At 45.6% G+C, this 18820-nt stretch overlaps 1 protein-coding gene across 35 annotated transcripts in view, besides 2 other annotated features; it reads right to left on the reverse strand.

Annotated features, from left to right (window-relative positions):
- Window positions 1-18820, reverse strand: part of SLC39A11 (solute carrier family 39 member 11) — a 446740-nt gene that overhangs the window by 345433 nt on the left and 82487 nt on the right. The window lies entirely within an intron of this gene.
- Window positions 1486-1575: an enhancer, noted in NCBI's record as "active region_12683". NCBI's record gives its function as "activates an Ori minimal core promoter by ATAC-STARR-seq in GM12878 lymphoblastoid cells {active_cell/tissue: GM12878}" and the evidence as "EXISTENCE:reporter gene assay evidence [ECO:0000049][PMID:35858748]".
- Window positions 1696-1745: an enhancer, noted in NCBI's record as "active region_12684". NCBI's record gives its function as "activates an Ori minimal core promoter by ATAC-STARR-seq in GM12878 lymphoblastoid cells {active_cell/tissue: GM12878}" and the evidence as "EXISTENCE:reporter gene assay evidence [ECO:0000049][PMID:35858748]".

The following is an 18820-nucleotide window of genomic DNA, read 5'->3' on the forward strand; positions in this document are numbered from 1 at the left end:
GAGCCTTGCTCTGTCACCCAGACTGGGGTGCAGTGGCGTGATCTCGGCTCACCACAACCTCCACCTCCCGGGTTGAAGCAATTCTCCTGCCTCAGCCTCTCAAATAGCTGGGATTACAGGCCCACGCCACCACACCCGGCTAATTTTTGTATTTTTATTAGAGATGGGGGTTTCACCATGTTGGCCAGGCTGGTCTTGAACTCCTGATCTCAGATAATCCCCCCGCCTTGGCCTCCCAAAGTGCTGGGATTACAGGTGTGAGCCACTGGGCCCGGCCATGCAACTTACTTTTTTAAATGGCTACTTAGCCATGCTATCTTAATGAATTTACCACAATTTAATTATTCATTCTTCTACTGACTGATAATGTATTCATTTCCAATTTTTCACCATTACAAGAAATGCTGCAATGAACATTCTCATGCAGGGTTCCCTGTGTACATTCGCAAGAATGCCTGAAGAACATGTATCTAAAACTGAAACTGCTTTGTCATGGGATATGTTATATCTTCAGTTTTACCAGATATTAACAAATTACTCACCAAGATGGTTGTATCAATTTGCACTCCCATCAACAGTGCATGAGAGTTCCTATTTATCAAAAATCTCTTTTGTCAATACTGAATATTGTCAAACCTTTTCTCATTTTTTTTGGTCAAATACAAAAGGTGAGAATTTAAATCGCAGAGGCCAGGAGTGGCGGCTCACACCTGTAATCCCAGCACTTTGGGAGGCTGAGGCAGATGGATCACCTGAGTTCAGGAGTTCCAGACCAGCCTGGCCAACATAGTGAAACCCCATCTCTACTAAAAATACTAAAATTACTCGAGCTTGGTGGCAGGCACTTGTAATCTCAGCTTTACTTGGGAGACTGAGGCAGGAGAATTGCTTGAACCCAGGAGGTGGAGGTGGCAGTGAGCCGAGATCACGCCATTGCACTCCAGCCAGGGTGACAAGAGTGAAACTTCATCTCAAAAAACGAACAAAAAAAGAAAAACAAAATAATTTAAATTGCATTCCCTTTATTACCAGTGAAACTGGGCATCTTTTCATGTGTTTATTGGTTCTTTAGGGCTCCTTCCTCATAAATTCCTAATCAAATAGTTTGTTCAATTTTTTTACTGTGCACGGTTTGCCCCTTTTCATTGATTTGTGGAAGACCTTTATATATTCTGGACACCAATATTTCATCAGTTGTGTGTATTGCAAATATCTTCTCACAAGCCTTGGCTTGAATTTAACTCTATAACGTCTTTTGTCACAGAGAAGTTTGTTTTTCTTAATGTTATAAATTGCTTTATCACTAGTTGGCTACTCATTAAAATCACCTGGAGAGCTTTTAAAAAATACTAATGCTAAAAAATAAGTTACAGCGTTAGAAAGCAGATCAGTGGTTACCTGGGTTCAGATTGGCACATGGGGGATGTATTAGTCTGTTCTCATGCTGCTAATAAAGACACACCCGAGACTGGGTAATTTATAAAGAAAAAAGAGGTTTAATGGACTCACAGTTCCACATGGCTGGGGAGGCCTCACAGTCATGGCAGAAAGCGAAAGGCACATCTTACATGCTGGCAGACAAGAGAGAGCTTGCACAGGGAAACTCCCCCTTATAAAACCATCAGATCTTGTGAGACTTATTCACTATCATGAGAACAGCACAGGAAACACCCGCCCCCATGATTCAATTACCTCCCACTAGGTCCCTCCCAGGACATGTGGGAATTGTGGGAGCCACAATTCAAGATGAGATTTGGGTGGGGGACACAGCCAAACCATATCGGGGGTGCTGACTCAGAAGGGGCAGCAGGCACCAGGGAATTTCCTACAAGGGTAGGAAAAAATCTTAAATTTGATTATTGTAAAGATTACACAGGTGTACACATTTGTCAAAACACACTAAACTAGAAAGTTAAAATGGGAGCGTTTTATGTAAATTATACCTCAATACAGTTGATTTGAAAAAACAGATGCCTGGGCTCTACCACGTACAATTTTAGTTAGAATCTGTAGGAGTTGAAACCCACAATCTGTATTTGTTTTAAGTGTCCACAGATGATTAAAATGTGCAGCCAGGGCTGAGAACCACTGTCCTAAATATTGTTGAAGCATTGCTAACTTCGCCTGGGAGCATTTTTGCAAAGGGTATATGGTAGATTACAATTTTGGAGGCGATTCCACTGGATCAACATTTATTGACTAATCAATCCTTTTCCCACTGAATTATAATGGCAACTCTGCCATGTTCCATACACCAAGTTTCTATATATTCATGAGACTTGCCAGTCTTCCCCGTTGATTCTGTACAGCTATGGCACAATGTCACACTGTTGTAATTACCAAAATGTTCTGCTGTTTGCAAGGTCAAAATCCTTTCTCTTCCTCCTCCCTCTCTTACTCTCCTTCCAAAATTTAAGATTTTTTCCTACCCTTGAAATTCCCTGGTGCCTACTGCCCCTTCCGAGTCAGCACCCCCAATATGGTTTGGCTGTGTCCCCCACCCAAATCTCATCTTGAATTGTAGCTCCCACAATTCCCACATGTCCTGGGAGGGACCTAGTGGGAGGTAATTGAATCATGGGGGCGGGTGTTTCCCGTGCTATTCTCATGATAGCACCTATTCTTGGTCCTGTATTTTTCCATATGAACTACATATTTAGCCTCACGAGTTTCACCCAAGTTTCACCCGTTACAGTCATGAACTGCCACGCCTGGCCTGGTTTCTACTTTTCTTCATAAAAATCCTGCAGTATTTCATTTGCTTCATATACAGTAGCCAAAACCCACAAGCAATTCAATGTCCACCAACAATAGGATGAATAAATAAATATATTCATATGGTGGAGCATTGTATAACAGTCAAAAGGAATTAACAAGAGCTATAGACAATGATGTGGATAAATTTTATTCCTATATTTAATGAAAGAAGCAAAATACACAACTAATATATATAGAATGTTTTCATTTATATACAATTGAAATACTAAATCATGTTGTTTAGGGATGTACATATAAGGGTTGAAACTATAAAAAAGAGGTAATTATAAAAGTCAGAATAGTGGTGACTTAGCAGCAAGTAGCAACAGGGATTGATCAAGAGGGGAATACATGGGGAGTTAGGGGGACTTTTGTTTCTTGGCATGGTGGCGGTTACAAAGATATTTGCTTTAGAATTATTCATTACGTTTGTTGTATAAAGTTTTTTACGTGTATCATATTTCATAATAAAGTGAAAAAGCGCTTTTAATTAGAAATCTGAGCTCTGGTACTCCACAAACAGGATCCAGCCTACTTTAAGTAGAAGGTTCTCTCTAGATAGGAGCTGAGGATATGGCCTGACCCGCTTGATCTCTGTGCATCATTTAACTCTAAATCATCTCTTTAGAAAGAACAAACACTCCATGAGACTTTCAAATCAAATGCCCTATACGGACTGGGTTCTTGATGCTTTTAGCTTCTCCATGCTTTGAATATATTATATGTTGGAGGTGAAGGAGGGGGTTATTTGGGCTAATTGAACATATTACCCGACAAAGCATGGTGCTAGTTTCCACCTGGATACAGAGGTGAGTTAGGTAAGACCCTGCCCTAAAAAGCTTGCAGTAGCCAGTTAGGCAGCCAACAGCCATTCCCACTAGCATCTATGTCTCTTCTTCAACCTGGACAGAGAGTTAGATTATATATGATACAGCCCTGCCTTCCTGTCTTGACCTCATCTCTCAACACTTTCAAGCTCTCCATGGCAGGTTGAATGACTGGCCCCAGTTCTTTAGCCCTCCCTGCAACCATGCCCTTGTCATGGCCTTATCATGAGCACAGTGTGTTTCCCCACCCCTTGACCTTGGGCTTGGCCATGTGATTTGCCTTTCATCCAAATAGATGTGCAAGTGACTATGAATTGGCCAAGAGATTGTGAGCAGGTGTACTAAGCACTACATCAGGCCTGACCCATAAGAAATGAACTCATCATTTTCCCCAATGCCATAACCAGCTCCAAGGAGAGGGATCAAATCCACCTAACTCCCTGTGATGGTTAATTTCACATGTCAACTTGACTGGACTAAGGGATGCCCAGATAGCTGACAAAATACTATTTCCAGGTGTGTCTGTGAGGGTGGTTCCAAAAGAGATTAGCATTTGAATCAGTAGACTGAGTAAGGCAGATGGCCCTCCCAGCATGGGTGAGTATCATCCAGTCCATGGAGGGCCTGAATAGAACAAAAAGGTGGAAGAACCATGAATTCACTCTCTCTCGGCTTGAGTTGAGACATCCATCTTTCCTGCCCTCAGAAAGTGGCACTCCTGGTTCCTGGGCTATCAAATTTAGACTGAATGTTTTACCATGAATTCCCCAAGATTTTCCAGCCTTCCGACTTGGATGAATTACACCACTGGCTTTCCTGGTTCTCCAGCTCACAGACAACAGATCTCAGCCTCCATAACTGTGCAAACCAATTTCTTTAATAAATCCTCCCCCCGCCCAATGAATCCTGACTAATATACTCCTCAAGCCAAAAATAATCTCCCACATCCAATTGGTTACCAAGTCTAGCTGTTTCTTCTGAACATCTTTTTTTTAGATCTACCCCTAATTGTCTTCCTTAAATGCCACCCTAATCCCCACCCTTCTGCCTTCCCGCCTAGCCTATTGTAGTAGCTGGAGTCTAGTCCAGCACCCTCCACACTGCCCTCCTTCACCCCAGAGCCACCTTTCTAAAATGCAAATCTGAAGATGTCACTCCCTTGCCCCAAATCCCTCAGTCCCACCACTGCCTACAGGATAAAATCTAAATTCTTTGTATAACATGTCACGCCCCTCCTGATACAGCCCTGCCTGGTGTCTCGGCCCCGTCTCTTACCGCAGCTGCACCCTCCGTGGCCGCTTGAACGTTTGGCCTCAGGTTTTACCTCTATGTGCGTCCACGTTCTTCCCATGGCCTTGTCATGGGAATAGTATGTTTTCCTACTTTATTGGTTTTCTAGGGCTGCCGGAACTAATCACCACAAACTGGGTGGCTTCAATGACATAAATTTATCCTCTAAGAGTTCTGGAGGCCAAACGTCTGAATCAAGGTATCAGCAGGGCCATTTTCTCTCCAAAGGCTTTAAGGAAGAATCCTTCTTGCATCTTCCAGCTGTTGGTGGTTCTCAGCAACCCTCAGCACTCCTTGGCTCGTGGCAGCGTTACTCCCATCTTGGCCTCCATCTTTGCATGGCCATCTCCTTTGTGTCTTTGCTTCCCTTGTCTCTTCTCTTTTTAGAAGGACATGAGTCATATTGGATTTATGGCCCACCCTACTCTAGTACGACCTCATCTTAACTAATTACATCTGCAAAGACCCTTTTTCCAAGTAAAGTCATGTTCCGAGGTTCCAAGAAACATATATTTTGGGAGACACTATTCAACCCAGTATACCCACCCTTTGATGCTGGCTTCTACCATGTGACTTGCTTAGCCAGTGGTATGTGGATGGAAGTATCCATGGGTCGGTTCTGTGCCTAGGCCTTAGGGAGCCTTGTTACTGCTCTTCCTTTTGTGCCTCTGCCCTTGTCATGAGAAAAACATGCCCTGGTCCAAGGCAGATGGCAGACACTTGGGGCAGAGCCACCCTCCCCACGACCATCTGCAGTCTTGCAGCTTAATGTAGTCAAGAGCAGCTGACCCCCAGCTGATCCACAGATGCATGAGAAAGCTCTATTATCAATAGAGTTGGTCCAGCCAATTCACAGACACCAAGAAAATCAATCCTTCTAGTTGTATACCGCTGAGATTTTGGGGTTGTCATGCAGCAATAGTTAACGAATGCATACACTTTGTGCCACAGCAACAATGAACGAGCCGGCCTGCTGCAAGGTCTCTTTAACGTACAGAGTAGCTCCCTCTTTTTTTGAGATGGAGTCTCGCTCTGTCGCCCAGGCTGGAATGCAGTGGCATGATCTCAGCTCACTGCAACCTCCGCCTCCCAGGTTCAAGCGATTCTCCTGCCTCAGCCTCCAGAGAAGCTGGGATTATAGGTGGCCACCACCACGCCCGGCTAATTTTATATTTTTAATGGAGATGGGGTTTCGCCATGTTGGCCAGGCTGGTCTTGAACTCCTGACCTCAAGTGATCCTCCTGCCTCGGCCTCCCAAAGTGCTGGGATTACAGGCGTGAGCCACCACGCCCAGCCAGAGTAGCCCCCTCTTATCCATGGTTTTGCTTTCCACATTCCCAAACTACCCAGTCAAGTGTCAAGTGTGGTCCAAAAATATTAAATGGAAAATTCCAAAAATAATTCATAGGTTTTAAATTGCACACTGTTCTGAGTAGCATGATGAAATCTCACTCTGTCCTGCGCAGAATGTGAATTATTCCTTTGTCCAGAGTACCCGCATTGTCTACGCTAGCCATCCATTAGTCACTTAGTAACCGTCTTGGTTATCAGATCAACTGTCACGACTTCATGGTGCTTTTGTGGAAGTAACTCATAATTTACTCAGTAACGGCCCCAAGCACAAGAGTAGTGATGCTGGGAATTTGAATATGTCAAAGAGAAGCCATAAAATGCTTCCTTTAGATGAAAAGGTAAAAGTTCTTGACTTCAGAAGAAAATCATATGCTGAGGTTGCAAAGATCTAAACAAATCTGTTATCCATGAAATTGTGAAGAAGGAAAATAAATTCATGCCAGTTTTGCTGTTGCACCACGGGGTATGTAACTGCTAAGATGAAAAAGGCGTTAAATTTACGAGTGGAAGACATGAACAGAAATGTGTTTTGATTGACGGCCCTCAGGTTCGATACTATCCAGGATTTGAGGCATCCACTGGAGGTCTTGGAAAGTATCCCCCATGGATAAGGACCACCATCCTCCTTTTAACGAGGATAGGATGTAGAGCCGTGCTATGTCACAAGGACCACTGTACTGTTCCTTTGTCTGAAATGCATGCCCCACCATCTCCTGTCAAGCCCATCTGCCTGACAAATTCCAAATTAATCTTTAAGTCCAAAGTCATGCACCAATTTTAGGAAGCCTTTTATGACTCTCCCAAGTAGACTGAGTCACTGTTATTCAGTGCTCCCAGCCTATGCTCACCTCCATTATAGACAGTAATTACCACTCTGTAATTGCTTGTTTATATAATTACAGGGCTTTTGATCCCTGACACAAGCAAAATGTCTGGCACCAAAAGTTGGCACTAAATGAATCACAGAAAACAAAGACGTGATAGGAATGGGGCAGTAAGTGGGAATGAGGAAAAGGGAAGAAGACTGGCAGCCTAGAAGGGAACACTGCAAAAGTCTGAAAAAGTCTCAAGTCCAGACTCACATCTCTATGTGGTTTTGACACATGCAGCTGCTTTGGGGTACACCTTGCAGTATGAAACTCATCCAATCACTGAATCACAGAACTGAACTCTGGGGGTCCCCGCTGAAATGACTCAGTAAAGTTGCAAGGAAAGCCAGACAGCAGAGGAGTCCCGTTCTGAGAGGTGGAAGGGAGATGGCGGCGTTTTCCGCAGCCACAGAGGTGGGGTCAGATGAGAAAGGCAGCAATTTTAAAGCAGCTATTAGGAAGAACTCTCTGACTTTAATGTGGTGAGAGTGAAGCACATACCAAGAGTGGTTTCAGAGTCTCACTGAGCAGAACAATGACCAGGACAAGGACGATGACAATGAAGATGGTGATGATTCCAAGAGGGCAACAGGTCTGATGTGACGTAAGCACGGCCCTACATCCCATCCTCACCAAAAGGAGGATGGTGGCTCATTTCTCAAGGCCTAGCATCTCAAAATACATCCCGTTAGAAAAAAGATCATAGGTTCCTAGCGCAACACTAATATCTCTTTCTGGAGATTTCAATTATCCAAATTACATTCTTTACTTTTTAACTGTCTCTCATTCTCTCACTGCCATCCTCAAAAATTTACATCTCTCCCCAGCCATCTCTTTGTCTGGAATGCAATAATATTTGATCCTTCCACTCTGCAAGCCTGCTGGAAAATTAATTAAAAACCAGACTGGGCTCAAAGAGGCCCTTTCAGTCCAGGAATCTCATAGGGCTTAGCACTCTGCAGGGAAAGATCCGCTCCAGGCTGCTAATCATTAGCCTACCTGCTGCACACCTTGGAGCCTAAACCATCAAACAGTTCTCATCACCAAGGGTTTATTGAGCCTTATATTTGGAGATAATTTCATACACGTGTTTTGAGTGCTCTCCAAGGAGTAATCCCTAGCAGTTTTTAGTGCACTGGGGATTGCAGACTCCTCTGAGGAGCCACGGAAGGCAACAGGTCCATTTCCTGCTGTGGTGAACACTGACTGCCTAGGGCTGCAGATGGTTTTCTTTTATTTTAGCTATCCTGTATCTGTTTTTTTGTTTGTTTGTTTTTTTGAGATGAAGTTTCACTCTTGTTGCCCAGGCTGGAGTGCAGTGGTGCGATCTCAGCTCACTGCAACCTCTGCCTCCCAAGTTCAAGCGATTCTCCTGCCTCAGTCTCCCGAGTAGCTGGGATTACAGGCACGCGCCACCACACCTGGCTAAGTTTTGTATTTTTAGTAGAGATGGGGGTTTCGCCATGTTACCCTGGCTGGTCTCGAACTCCTGAGCTCAGCTCATCCACCCACCTCAGCCTCCCAAAGTGCTGGGATTACAGGCCTGAGCCACCACCACACCTGGCCGGTATCCTGTATCTGAACCCCTTTCTGTGTCTAGGGAATTGCCCACTTTATGAGACAAGGACAAAGACCTCTTCCCATAACAGGAGCTGCCAGATGACCGAGTTCTGCCTACCAGATGCACCGGGATAGTCAGACTATCTCAGAAGGCAGCAAAATCAGCTGAGGGATCCATTTCTCCCCTCCCCCATTCCCCTCTTCTTCTCCTTCTCCCTCTCCTCTCATCTCTCCTTTCTCCCCTCTCTCTCTGCCTTCTCTCTCTCTCTCTCAATCCCTCTCCTCTCATCTCTCTTCTCCCCTCTCTCTCTGCCTCCTCCTCATCCTCCTCCTCCTCCTCTCTCTCTCTCTGATGCTGGCTGACACAAAAGTGGCAGCAATTGCATCCAACTTATGTTCCCGACAAGGATATGGGAACAAGGCACATAGGCCTCTGGTGCTGCATGGCCAGTAGCAGTCTGCTCAGCAGAACAGTTCAGCGACTTGGTTTTGGGTGTTACTCTTGGAAGCTGAGCCTTGAGTGTGGTTCTCCTTCCCTCCTCTCCCATCAACATTCTGGGAGCTACTTGGTATCCTTAATAAGCTCCATTCCTGTTTCATCAGCCAGGGTCAGTCTCTGTTGCTTGCAACCCAGAACCCTGACTGAGGAACACACTCATTTTCATATATCATATCACAAGGTCAGAGGCCAACTGAAGTTTTTTAAAATCCTACATTGACTCTCAGCCCAAACATACCTTCCTATAGCTCCAAGATATTAAGGCTGAGGCTTTGAAACTACATTTTTGCTTTGCTAGTTGTTCTTTGTTAGGCTCTGCAAGTCAAGGATATTAGAAGAAAACTTTAGTGCTTGAAAAGGGACACGTTCCTTTCTGTCTGCTGACTATTGTTGTGAGCTTTACCCCAGAAATGCTTCTTCACTGTGGCAGCCGTAATTCATTCCTATAGTATCTGCTGCATCCAGTTTGAACTTTTTCCAATATTTGCAGAACTGTCTTCATTGTGCCCTAGCCTAAGACACCATCACCAGCCTGCTGGCCCCTCCTCATGGACATTTGAGTTTCAGCTCTGAAGGGCCCTTCTCTAAGTTTCTAAGTTTTAATAATTCCAACTTCTTTCTCTATTTCCTCATCCCGAGCAGTGGTAGCTGCTTTCTATAGTTGCTACCTTTGTGATACCTTAGAGTTCTCTTTTTACCCTAGCTAACAATTTTATTCCAGTTAGTTAGCCATTTGTTGTGTTAAATTCTCTCTGTTCAAATAACTGATATGCTTTCTATCTGGAACTAGAACCTGACTGATAGATATCAGCCTTAAGAAAAAGTTGTATACACATGGACACAGGAAGGGGAACATCACACTCTGGGGACTGTTGTGGGGTGGGGGGAGGGGGGAGGGATAGCATTAGGAGATATACCTAATGCTAAATGACGAGTTAATGGGTGCAGCACACCAGCATGGCACATGTATACATATGTAACTAACCTGCACATTGTGCACATGTACCCTAAAACTTAAAGTATAATAATAATAAAAAAAAAGAAAGAAAAAGTTGTATGAGTATCCCATTTGCAACCAGAGAAAACAGAAACAGAGAAATAGGAAGGAAGAAGAGTTTCCAGCCAAGTCAAGATGTAAAGTCTCAGACTCAGAGGCCATGGAATGAGTTCAAGCCATACAAGTCCAGCAAGCAAGGTTATGTGTATACCTGGGTGATTTCTGCAATGTGAGGAGGCAAAAGAAAGACAAGACCAGACATACTACTCAGAGCCCACAGGTCCCCTGCACCAAGTCCTGCAGAGAGGCTGTACCAGGGCAATGGAAAGTATCACAGACAGAACAGGTATGGGAAAAAATAATAAGTTTTCTGAGCATAGTGGGTGGGAAGCAGGGAATAGACTATCAGGCTTAGGAAAGAATGGTGAAAACATGCCTAAAACCCTCTGCTTGTTTGCCACAACTGAAATAACAACAGCATCATTACTAAGATGCTCTTAGGATATTCCAGGCCTTGAGCTAAGCATATCTGCACAGATTGCCACAGTCATCAATTACAAAATGCATTCTATTGTAAGACATACCATTACTTGAGGTATCACTAAGAAAGAAAAATATGCTGTCAATTAAACAATGACCCGCCATTGCCTGTAAGATGCATCCCAATTGTAAAGATAGTAAAATATGAAAAAAAATGCTTCTTACAATCAAGGGAACATGGCAGCTCATTTAATCCTTATAACAATTCCTATGAAGTAGGTATTGGGGCTTAAAGGGGCAGGGGCTGAGTGACTAGTTCGAAGTCCTACAGTCAGCAAGTGGCAGAGCATGCATCTGATCTCAGTCGGTGGGATGCCAGAGCCTGCGCTACTGGTAACTCTGGTGCCTCTTAAACCATTTAGAAGTCAGGGATCAAACTCTTACTTAACATGTGCAAATGTTACTGTTCTATTTTGAGCTTTTAGATGACCAAAAGGTATTAGCCATGAGCACTGAGCTGGTCAGACAGGGTCAGAGAAAGGGCTCTCACTACCAAATTTCCTTCAATGGCACAGAGCAGAGAGCAATGCCAGCTCCCCTGCAAGGCAAGAGGAAAGGCACACTATGGGGAGAACTAAAGATGCAAACTGTGTGAGTTCCCTGCAGCTGCTATAACAAGTTATCACAAATGCAATGGCTTCAAACAACAGAAATTCATTCTCTCATAATTCTGAAGGCCAGAAATGCAAAATCAGTATCACTGTACTGAAATCAATGTGTCAGCAGGGCCATGCTCCCTCTGGAGGCTCTAGGGAAGAATCTGTTCCTTGCCTCCTGTCAGGGCTTCCTCCCTCCAATTCAGCCTCTATGGTCATGTTGCCTCCTCCTCTCCTGTTCAAATCCCCCTCTGCCTCCCTCTTATAAGGAGGCTTGAGATTGTATTTAGGGCCCACCCTGGAGACAATCCAGCATTACCTCCCCATCTCCACATCCTTAACTTAATCGCATCTGTAAAGGTCCTTCTTTCATATAAGGTAACATCCACAGACTCCAGAGATTAGGACCTGAGTATCTCTGATGGCCCTTATTCAGCTGACCACACAAACCAAAGGTGGAACCTGCTGCTGGGGCTTCCCAAGCCCAGACACCTAAGCAAATATACACAGGTTGTTGAAATTTGAAATGTTAGTTTGATATTTCCATTTTTCAAAACTTACAGTGGAAGAGAAACTTTACCTGCAAATATCTGGAAATGTACAGATCACCCCAGCTTGACGGGCCGGGAATCATTACAACAGAAATTGAGTTGTGTGTGCTAATGCTGCAAAGTACTCATATGACAAATGACCTTGGACCGGTCTGATTGGATGTTGGGGGCAGAGTCCTGGGTGGAGACTGATGGAGAACTAGAACCCTCACAAAGGCACTGGTGGGCAGTAGACAGAAAAGGGATGAGACTAGCACCTGTTTTAGAGAGGAGGCAGACAAGACCCCAGGCTAGGATGAGACTGGTGCCTGTTTCAGAGAGCAGGCAGACAAGACCCCGGGCTGAACACGGAGAGGGCAGAGAAAGCAATCTGAGTCTACATGAGAAAAGGGGAAGGGAACTTCACAGAGGTGTGCTGTTGTGAGTCCTGGGCAGGACAATGACTGAGCCAGGGGTGAGGTGGCCACAGAGGGCAGCATCAACCAATGCAAGGGACAAAGAAGGCCTGAGTCACCAAGATCCGGGATAATCACTATAGATTTCACAACTCTCTTACCTTGGCTGCCACTATAAAATGCCACAGGCCAGGTACGGTGGCTCATGCCTATAATCTCAGCACTTTGGGAGGCTGAAGCGGGTGGATCACCCGAGGTCAGGAGTTTGAGACCAGCCTGGCCAACATGGTGAAACCCCGTCTCTACTAAAAATACAGAAATTAGCTGGGCATGGTGGTGCATGCCTGTAATCCCAGCTACTATGGAGGCTGAGGCAGGAGAATCACTTAAACCCAGGAGGCAGAGGTTGCAGTAAGCCAAGATCGCACCACTGCCCTCCAGCCTGGGCGACAGAGCAAGACTGTGTAAAGAAAGAAAGGAAGAAAGAAAGAGAGAGAGAGAGAAAGAAAGAAAGGAAAGAAAGGAAGAAAGAAAGAAAGAAGGAAAAAAAGAAAGAAAGAAAGAAAGAAAGAAAGAAAGAAAGAAAGAAAGAAAGAAAGAAAGAAAGAAAGAAAGAAAAGAAAGAAAGAGAAAAAGCAAGCAAGCCACAGACTACAGGGCTTCCGCAACATTTATTTCTCATAGTTCTGGAGGCTAGAAGTCCGAGATCAGGGTGCCAGCATCATCAGGTTCTGACATGGCCTTGCTCCTCGGCTCCCAGAGGGCCGTCTTCTTGCCGTGTCCTCACAGGGTGAAGTAAGAAAGACAGCGAGCTCTCTGGTGTCTCTTCTTAAAAGGACACTAATCCCATATGAGGGCCCCATCCTCACGACATCATCTAAACCTAATTACCTCCCAAAGGTTCCCATCATACTGAGAGTTGGGGCTTCAACATACGAATGTGGAAGGTTTACAATTCTGGCCCTGGCAATAACCTAGGTATCCTGCCAGGTTGGCACTCCACTAGCAACTTGCTCAGTGGGTAAAATAAGTCTCATTATTTGAAGTTAAAGCGTAAGACACCTGGAGGTTTCTACTTCACCTGGTCAAGTCATTTGATCCTTAACTGTTGCTTTCAACAATCTCTCTGAGAAAAAGAGGCCACAGGCAATGGGGCAAAGATGGACTGTGGTCCTAGGGCACGATGTTATGGGCAGAGCTTTCTGGCCCATTCCCTTGGGAATATTGGAAGGAAAGGGGCCATCGGCTCATGGAATACCCAAACAGTCCACGAGAGGCAGGACCAGCAGACACTGCAATGTGGACCCCACGAAGATCACAGCACATAAGCACACCGACCTAACCCCCCAACACATATACACATGTCATGTTTTGTTTGTTTGTTTGTTTGTTTGTTTTAAACAGAGTCTCGCTCCTTCCCCCAGGCTGGAATGCAGTGGTGTGAACTCAGCTCAACTGCAACCTCCACCTCCCAGGTTTAAGCGATTCTCCTTTCTCAGCCTCCCAAGTAGCTGGGATTACAACTAATTTTTGTATTTTTTGGTAGAGAAGAGGTTTCACCGTATTGGCCAGGCTAGTCTCGAACTCCTGACCTCAGACGATCCGCCAACCTCTGCCTCGCAAAGTGCTAGGATTACAGGCGTGAGCCACCGTGCCCGGCCCACACACACAACGTTTTGTTAAGCCTGAACCCACAACTTGTGCAAATAAGAAACAGGACCAAAAAGTTATCCCCAGGAGCTTCCACAGTTCCTGATATAAGGGAACTGACACGTATCAAATACCTACTGCATGCCTGACTGTGTGTCTGATACTCTCTGCGTGTTATTTTATTTAACCCTCATGGCCACCCTCTCACAATTAATTTGGAGGCTGCTCAAGTGTCTCTGCGGTGCAGGGTGCCAGTCAGGATGGGCTGGGCTCTGCTGCAACAACAAAGCACCTTCCTGTTCTATATGCAGAGGCTCTGCCCGCTCCAGCCACCTAGGGACCTGCTCACAGAGGCTCCATCTCAACACGTGAGTCTGTGATCACATCACCACCTGAGTGACCTCAGCCATGGTGGCTCACGCCTGTAATCCCAACACTTTGGAAGGCCAAGGCAAGCGGATCACGAAGTCAGGAGATCAAGACCAGCTTGGCCAACAGGGTGAACCCACGTCTCTACTAAAAATACCAAAAAATATTAGCCAGGTGTGGTGGCGCAGGTCTGTAGTCCCAGCTACTCGGGAGTCTAAGGCAAGGGAATCGCTTGAACCTGGGAGGTGGAGGTTGCAGTGAGCCGAGATCACACCACTGCACTCCAGCCTGGGCAACAGAGCAAGACTCCGACTCAAAAAATAAATAAAAATAAAATAATAATAATAAATAAAATTATCATTAGCACCTACCTCACAAGACAATGCCTATAGAGAGCCTGGCACCGTGCCTGAGACAGGACACACACTCCATGACTGTGAGTCATTGTCACGACATGTCCCGTACAGAAAAAAAAGCTCAGAAAATACTCAGACAGCCAATGTTCCAACACATGGATAAGGGTGGCGTCCATGAGATGAGATTAAAAGTGTATTTTCCTTACCTGTTGGAGTTTTTATTCTCTACATTTCTTTATAAAATGAGCATACATAATTTTCATCATCAAGAAAAAGGGCAACATATAAATAAATACATCCAACATGAGAACACAAAACAAAGTTTTAAAAGAACTGGCCTTAATGGATCTTCTAGATCAGAGGTTTGTAAACTATGGATTGTGGGCCAAATCCAGCCAGTTTTGTACAGCCCACGAGCTAAGGATGTGTTTTACATTTTTAAAGGGTCTTGGAGAAGGGAAAGGAAGGGGAAGGGAGAAGAGGATGGGGAGGGGAGAGACAGCAGCAGATGCTGTGTGTGGCTACAAAGCCTAAAATATTTACTATCTGACCTTTTACAGAAAAAGTGTGTTCACCCTGCTTTAGTTCACCCGACCACCTGATTCTTCAGACAATAAGTACCCAAAGCCTTGGGTGCTTTACTTAGAATTCAGTTTGTAAACACACACACACACACACACACACACATGCACACACGCACCCCTACAAAAATTATCAGGAACACAAAGACCCTTGATATAAAATGATGAATATACAATTATCTGTCATCACACTGCAGACAGTACGTGATTGAGTCTCCTTTCCACCCAACCGTTCACACATTTAGGAAGCGTTTATTGCGGCGGGAGTTGTTAGGGGAGAGATTAAGGGGGCCTCAGCATCTCCATGTCCCAGGCACTGTTCTAAGCCTCGAGGATTCAATGATGAATAAAGCTCCAGGCTGAACACTCACTCTTTCCTGTAGCAAATCAGTTTCAGGGCCCCTCCGTGTCAGGCTCTGTGCCAGGCGCTGGGGATGCAGAGGCAAACAAGAATGATGACGCCACTGCCCAAGGAGCCTACAGCCCATCAGCGACATGGGCAGCTAAGCAACCACGCAGCACGGCGCTCAGTCAAGGGGCCACAGAGAGATTCAAAACCAAGACACAGGGCCGGGCGCAGTGGCTCACACCTGTAATCCCAGCACTTTCGGAGGCCGAGGTGAGTGGATCACGAGGTCAGAAGTTCAAGACCAGCCCTGTCAACATGGTGAAATCCCATCTCTACTAAAATCACAAAAATTAGCCAGGCGTGGTGGCACATGCCTATAATCCCAGCTACTCAGGAGGCTGAGGAGGGAGAATAACTTGAAACCGGAAGGCAAAGGTTGCAGTGAGCCAAGATTATGCCACTGCACTCCAGCCTGGTCAGCAAGAGTGAAACTCTGTCTCAAAAAAATAAAGCAAGACACAGCAGACACAGCCTCAGGGCAACGCCATCATCATCATGGACTAATGACAATGGCCAAAACCTGAAAAGGAAGGACTTGGCCTGGTGAAAGCAAAAGGAGGAAGGTGGTTCCTGGCAGAGGGAGAACACGAGAAAAGGCTCAAAAAGACAAACAGTGTGACGTGTGCTGAGAACCAGCTGCAGGAGCTGGTGGGTGGTTTGGGTGGTGGAGGACTGGCCTGAGCCCAAGCTAAGGAGGGAGGGAAGGAGGGAGGGGCCAGGAGGAGAACGGTGAACGAAGTCCAAGCTAAAGGGAAAAAGAGGAAAAAGGCCTGGACTTGATGGGAAGATAGCAAAGGATTTTGGACACGGAATGACATCGTCAGAAACATTTGTGGTTGGGCCAGGCACAGTGGCTCACGCCTATAATCCCAACACTTTGGGAGGCCGAGGCATGTGGATCACCTGAGGTCAGGAGTTCGAGACCAGCCTGACCAACATGGTGAAACCCCATCTCAACCATAAATACAAAAATTAGCGGGGTGTGGTGGCGTGAGCCTGTAGTCCCAGCTACTCAGGAGGCTGAGACAGGAGAATCACTTGAACCTAGGAGGTAGAAGGTGCAGCAAGCCAAGATCACACCACTGCACTCCAGCCTGGGTGACAGAGCGAGACTCAGTCTCAAAAAAAAGAAAAAGAAAAAGAAAAAGAAACATTTGTTGTTGGGGTTTGTTGTTTTTTTTTTGTTTTTTTTTTTTTGAGATGGGGTCTTACTAAATGGTCCAGGCTAGCCTCAAACTCCTTGCTTTAAGCAATCCTCCAGCCTCACAGCATCCCTAGTAGCTGGGACTACAGGCACCTGTCACTGCACCCAGCAGAAACATATTTTTAATAAGATTATTCTGGCTATTTCCTCTGTAGCCTTGCAGAGTGAAGGCACTTACAATGAAAGCTAGCCTGAAGCTCTACCCAAACAACCACACTGCCCTGACCAGGCCGCTCCCTCTGCCCGTGCCGACTGCCCAAGTGTCCTTCCAGCTCCTCCCATTCAGAGCTGAGCTTCACACATGTGGCTCCAGCAAGCTGTGGGCCAGATGAGCCACCAGCCTGGCTGCCCACCAGGTTCAACCTAATCAGGTGCTCCTGATTATAGGGACACCAGGATATAGACCCAAAAGAACTGAAAACGGTGCTCAAACAAATCCTTGGTCACTCATCTTACTAGCAGCACTATTCACAGTAGCCAAAAGGCAGAACCAGCCCAAATGTCCAGCAATGGATGAATGGAACACAGTATGGCACGCCCAAACACAGTGGAATATTCTTCATCCAAAAAAAGCAATGACGTTCTCGGCCAGGCACAGTGGCTCACGCCTGTAATCCCAGCACTTTGGGAGGCTGATGTGGAAGGATCACTTGGGCCCAGGAGTTCAAGACCAGCCTGGGCAACATAGTGAGATGCTGTCACTACAAAAAAAAATAAATAAATAAAATAGGCAGGCGTGGCAGCACATGCCTGTAGTCCCAGCTACTCAGGAGGCTAAGGCCGGTGGATCAGTTGAGCCTGGGGCCCTTAAGGCTGCAGTGAGCTGCCATTGCAATGCTGCACTCCAGCCTGGGTGACAGAGAGACCTGCCTCAAAAAAAAAAAAAAAAAAAAGGCAGGGGGGCGGGGTGGCTCACGCCTGTAATTTCAGCACTTTGGGAGGCCAAGGCGGGCGGATCACAAGGTCAGGAGATCGAACCCATCCTGGCTAACACGGTGAAACCCTGTCTCTACTAAAAATATGAAAACGAAAAATTAGCCAGGTGTGGTGGCGGGCATCTGTAGTCCCCGCTACGGGGGAGGCTGAGGCAGGAGAATGGCGTGAGCTTGCAGTGAGCCGAGATTGCGCCACTGCACTCCATCCTGGGGGACAGAGCGAGACTCCATCTCAAAAAAAAAAAAAAAAAAAGAAAAGCAATGAAGTTTGATACATGCTACAATATGGATCAACCTTGAAAACACAATGCTAAATGAAAGAAATCAGACCCAAAAGGTCACATATTATAGGATTCCAGTAATATGAAATGTCCAGAATGGGTAAATCCACAAAAACAAAGTGGATTAGTGTTTGCCAGGCGGTGGAGAGTAAGCGAAGAATGGGGAGATGGAGAGTGATGGCTTAATAGGCATGGGGTTTCCTTGGGGGGGTGATGAAAATGTGTGGAATTTAGATAGCAGTATTGGTTGCAGAAAATTATGAAGGTACTAAATGTCACTGAAGTGTTCCATTTAAAATTGTTAATTTTATGCTATGTGAATTTCATCTCAATACAACAAATTTTTTTTATTATACTTTAAGTTCTAGGGTACATGTGCACAACGTGCAGGTTTGTTACATATGTATACATGTGCCATGTTGGTGTGCTGTACCCATTAACTCGTCATTTACATTAGGTGTAGCTCCTAATGCTATCCCTCCCCACTCCCCCCACCCCACGACAGGCCCCAGTGTGTGATGTTCCCTACCCTGTGTCCAAGTGTTCTCATCGAATACAACAAATTTTTTAAGGAGCCCAGGAGATGAGTAGGTTCTGGAGCCCTCTCCACTCCAAGGTTTCGGTACTCTTCTCCCAGATGTTACAGCTTTCCAGACTCCTGCTGTGCTGCTACCTGCCTTTCTGGACTGACTGTGGTTCTCTGACTAGAGGGAGCATCTAAGTCCCCTGGAGATCTAGTTCAAAATGCAGGTGCCTGGGCCTCACCCCAAGAGCTTCTGAGGCACAGAGTCTGGGGTGGG

This window comes from Homo sapiens, chromosome 17 (assembly GCF_000001405.40).
Source record: "Homo sapiens chromosome 17, GRCh38.p14 Primary Assembly".
Lineage (NCBI taxonomy): Eukaryota > Metazoa > Chordata > Mammalia > Primates > Hominidae > Homo > Homo sapiens.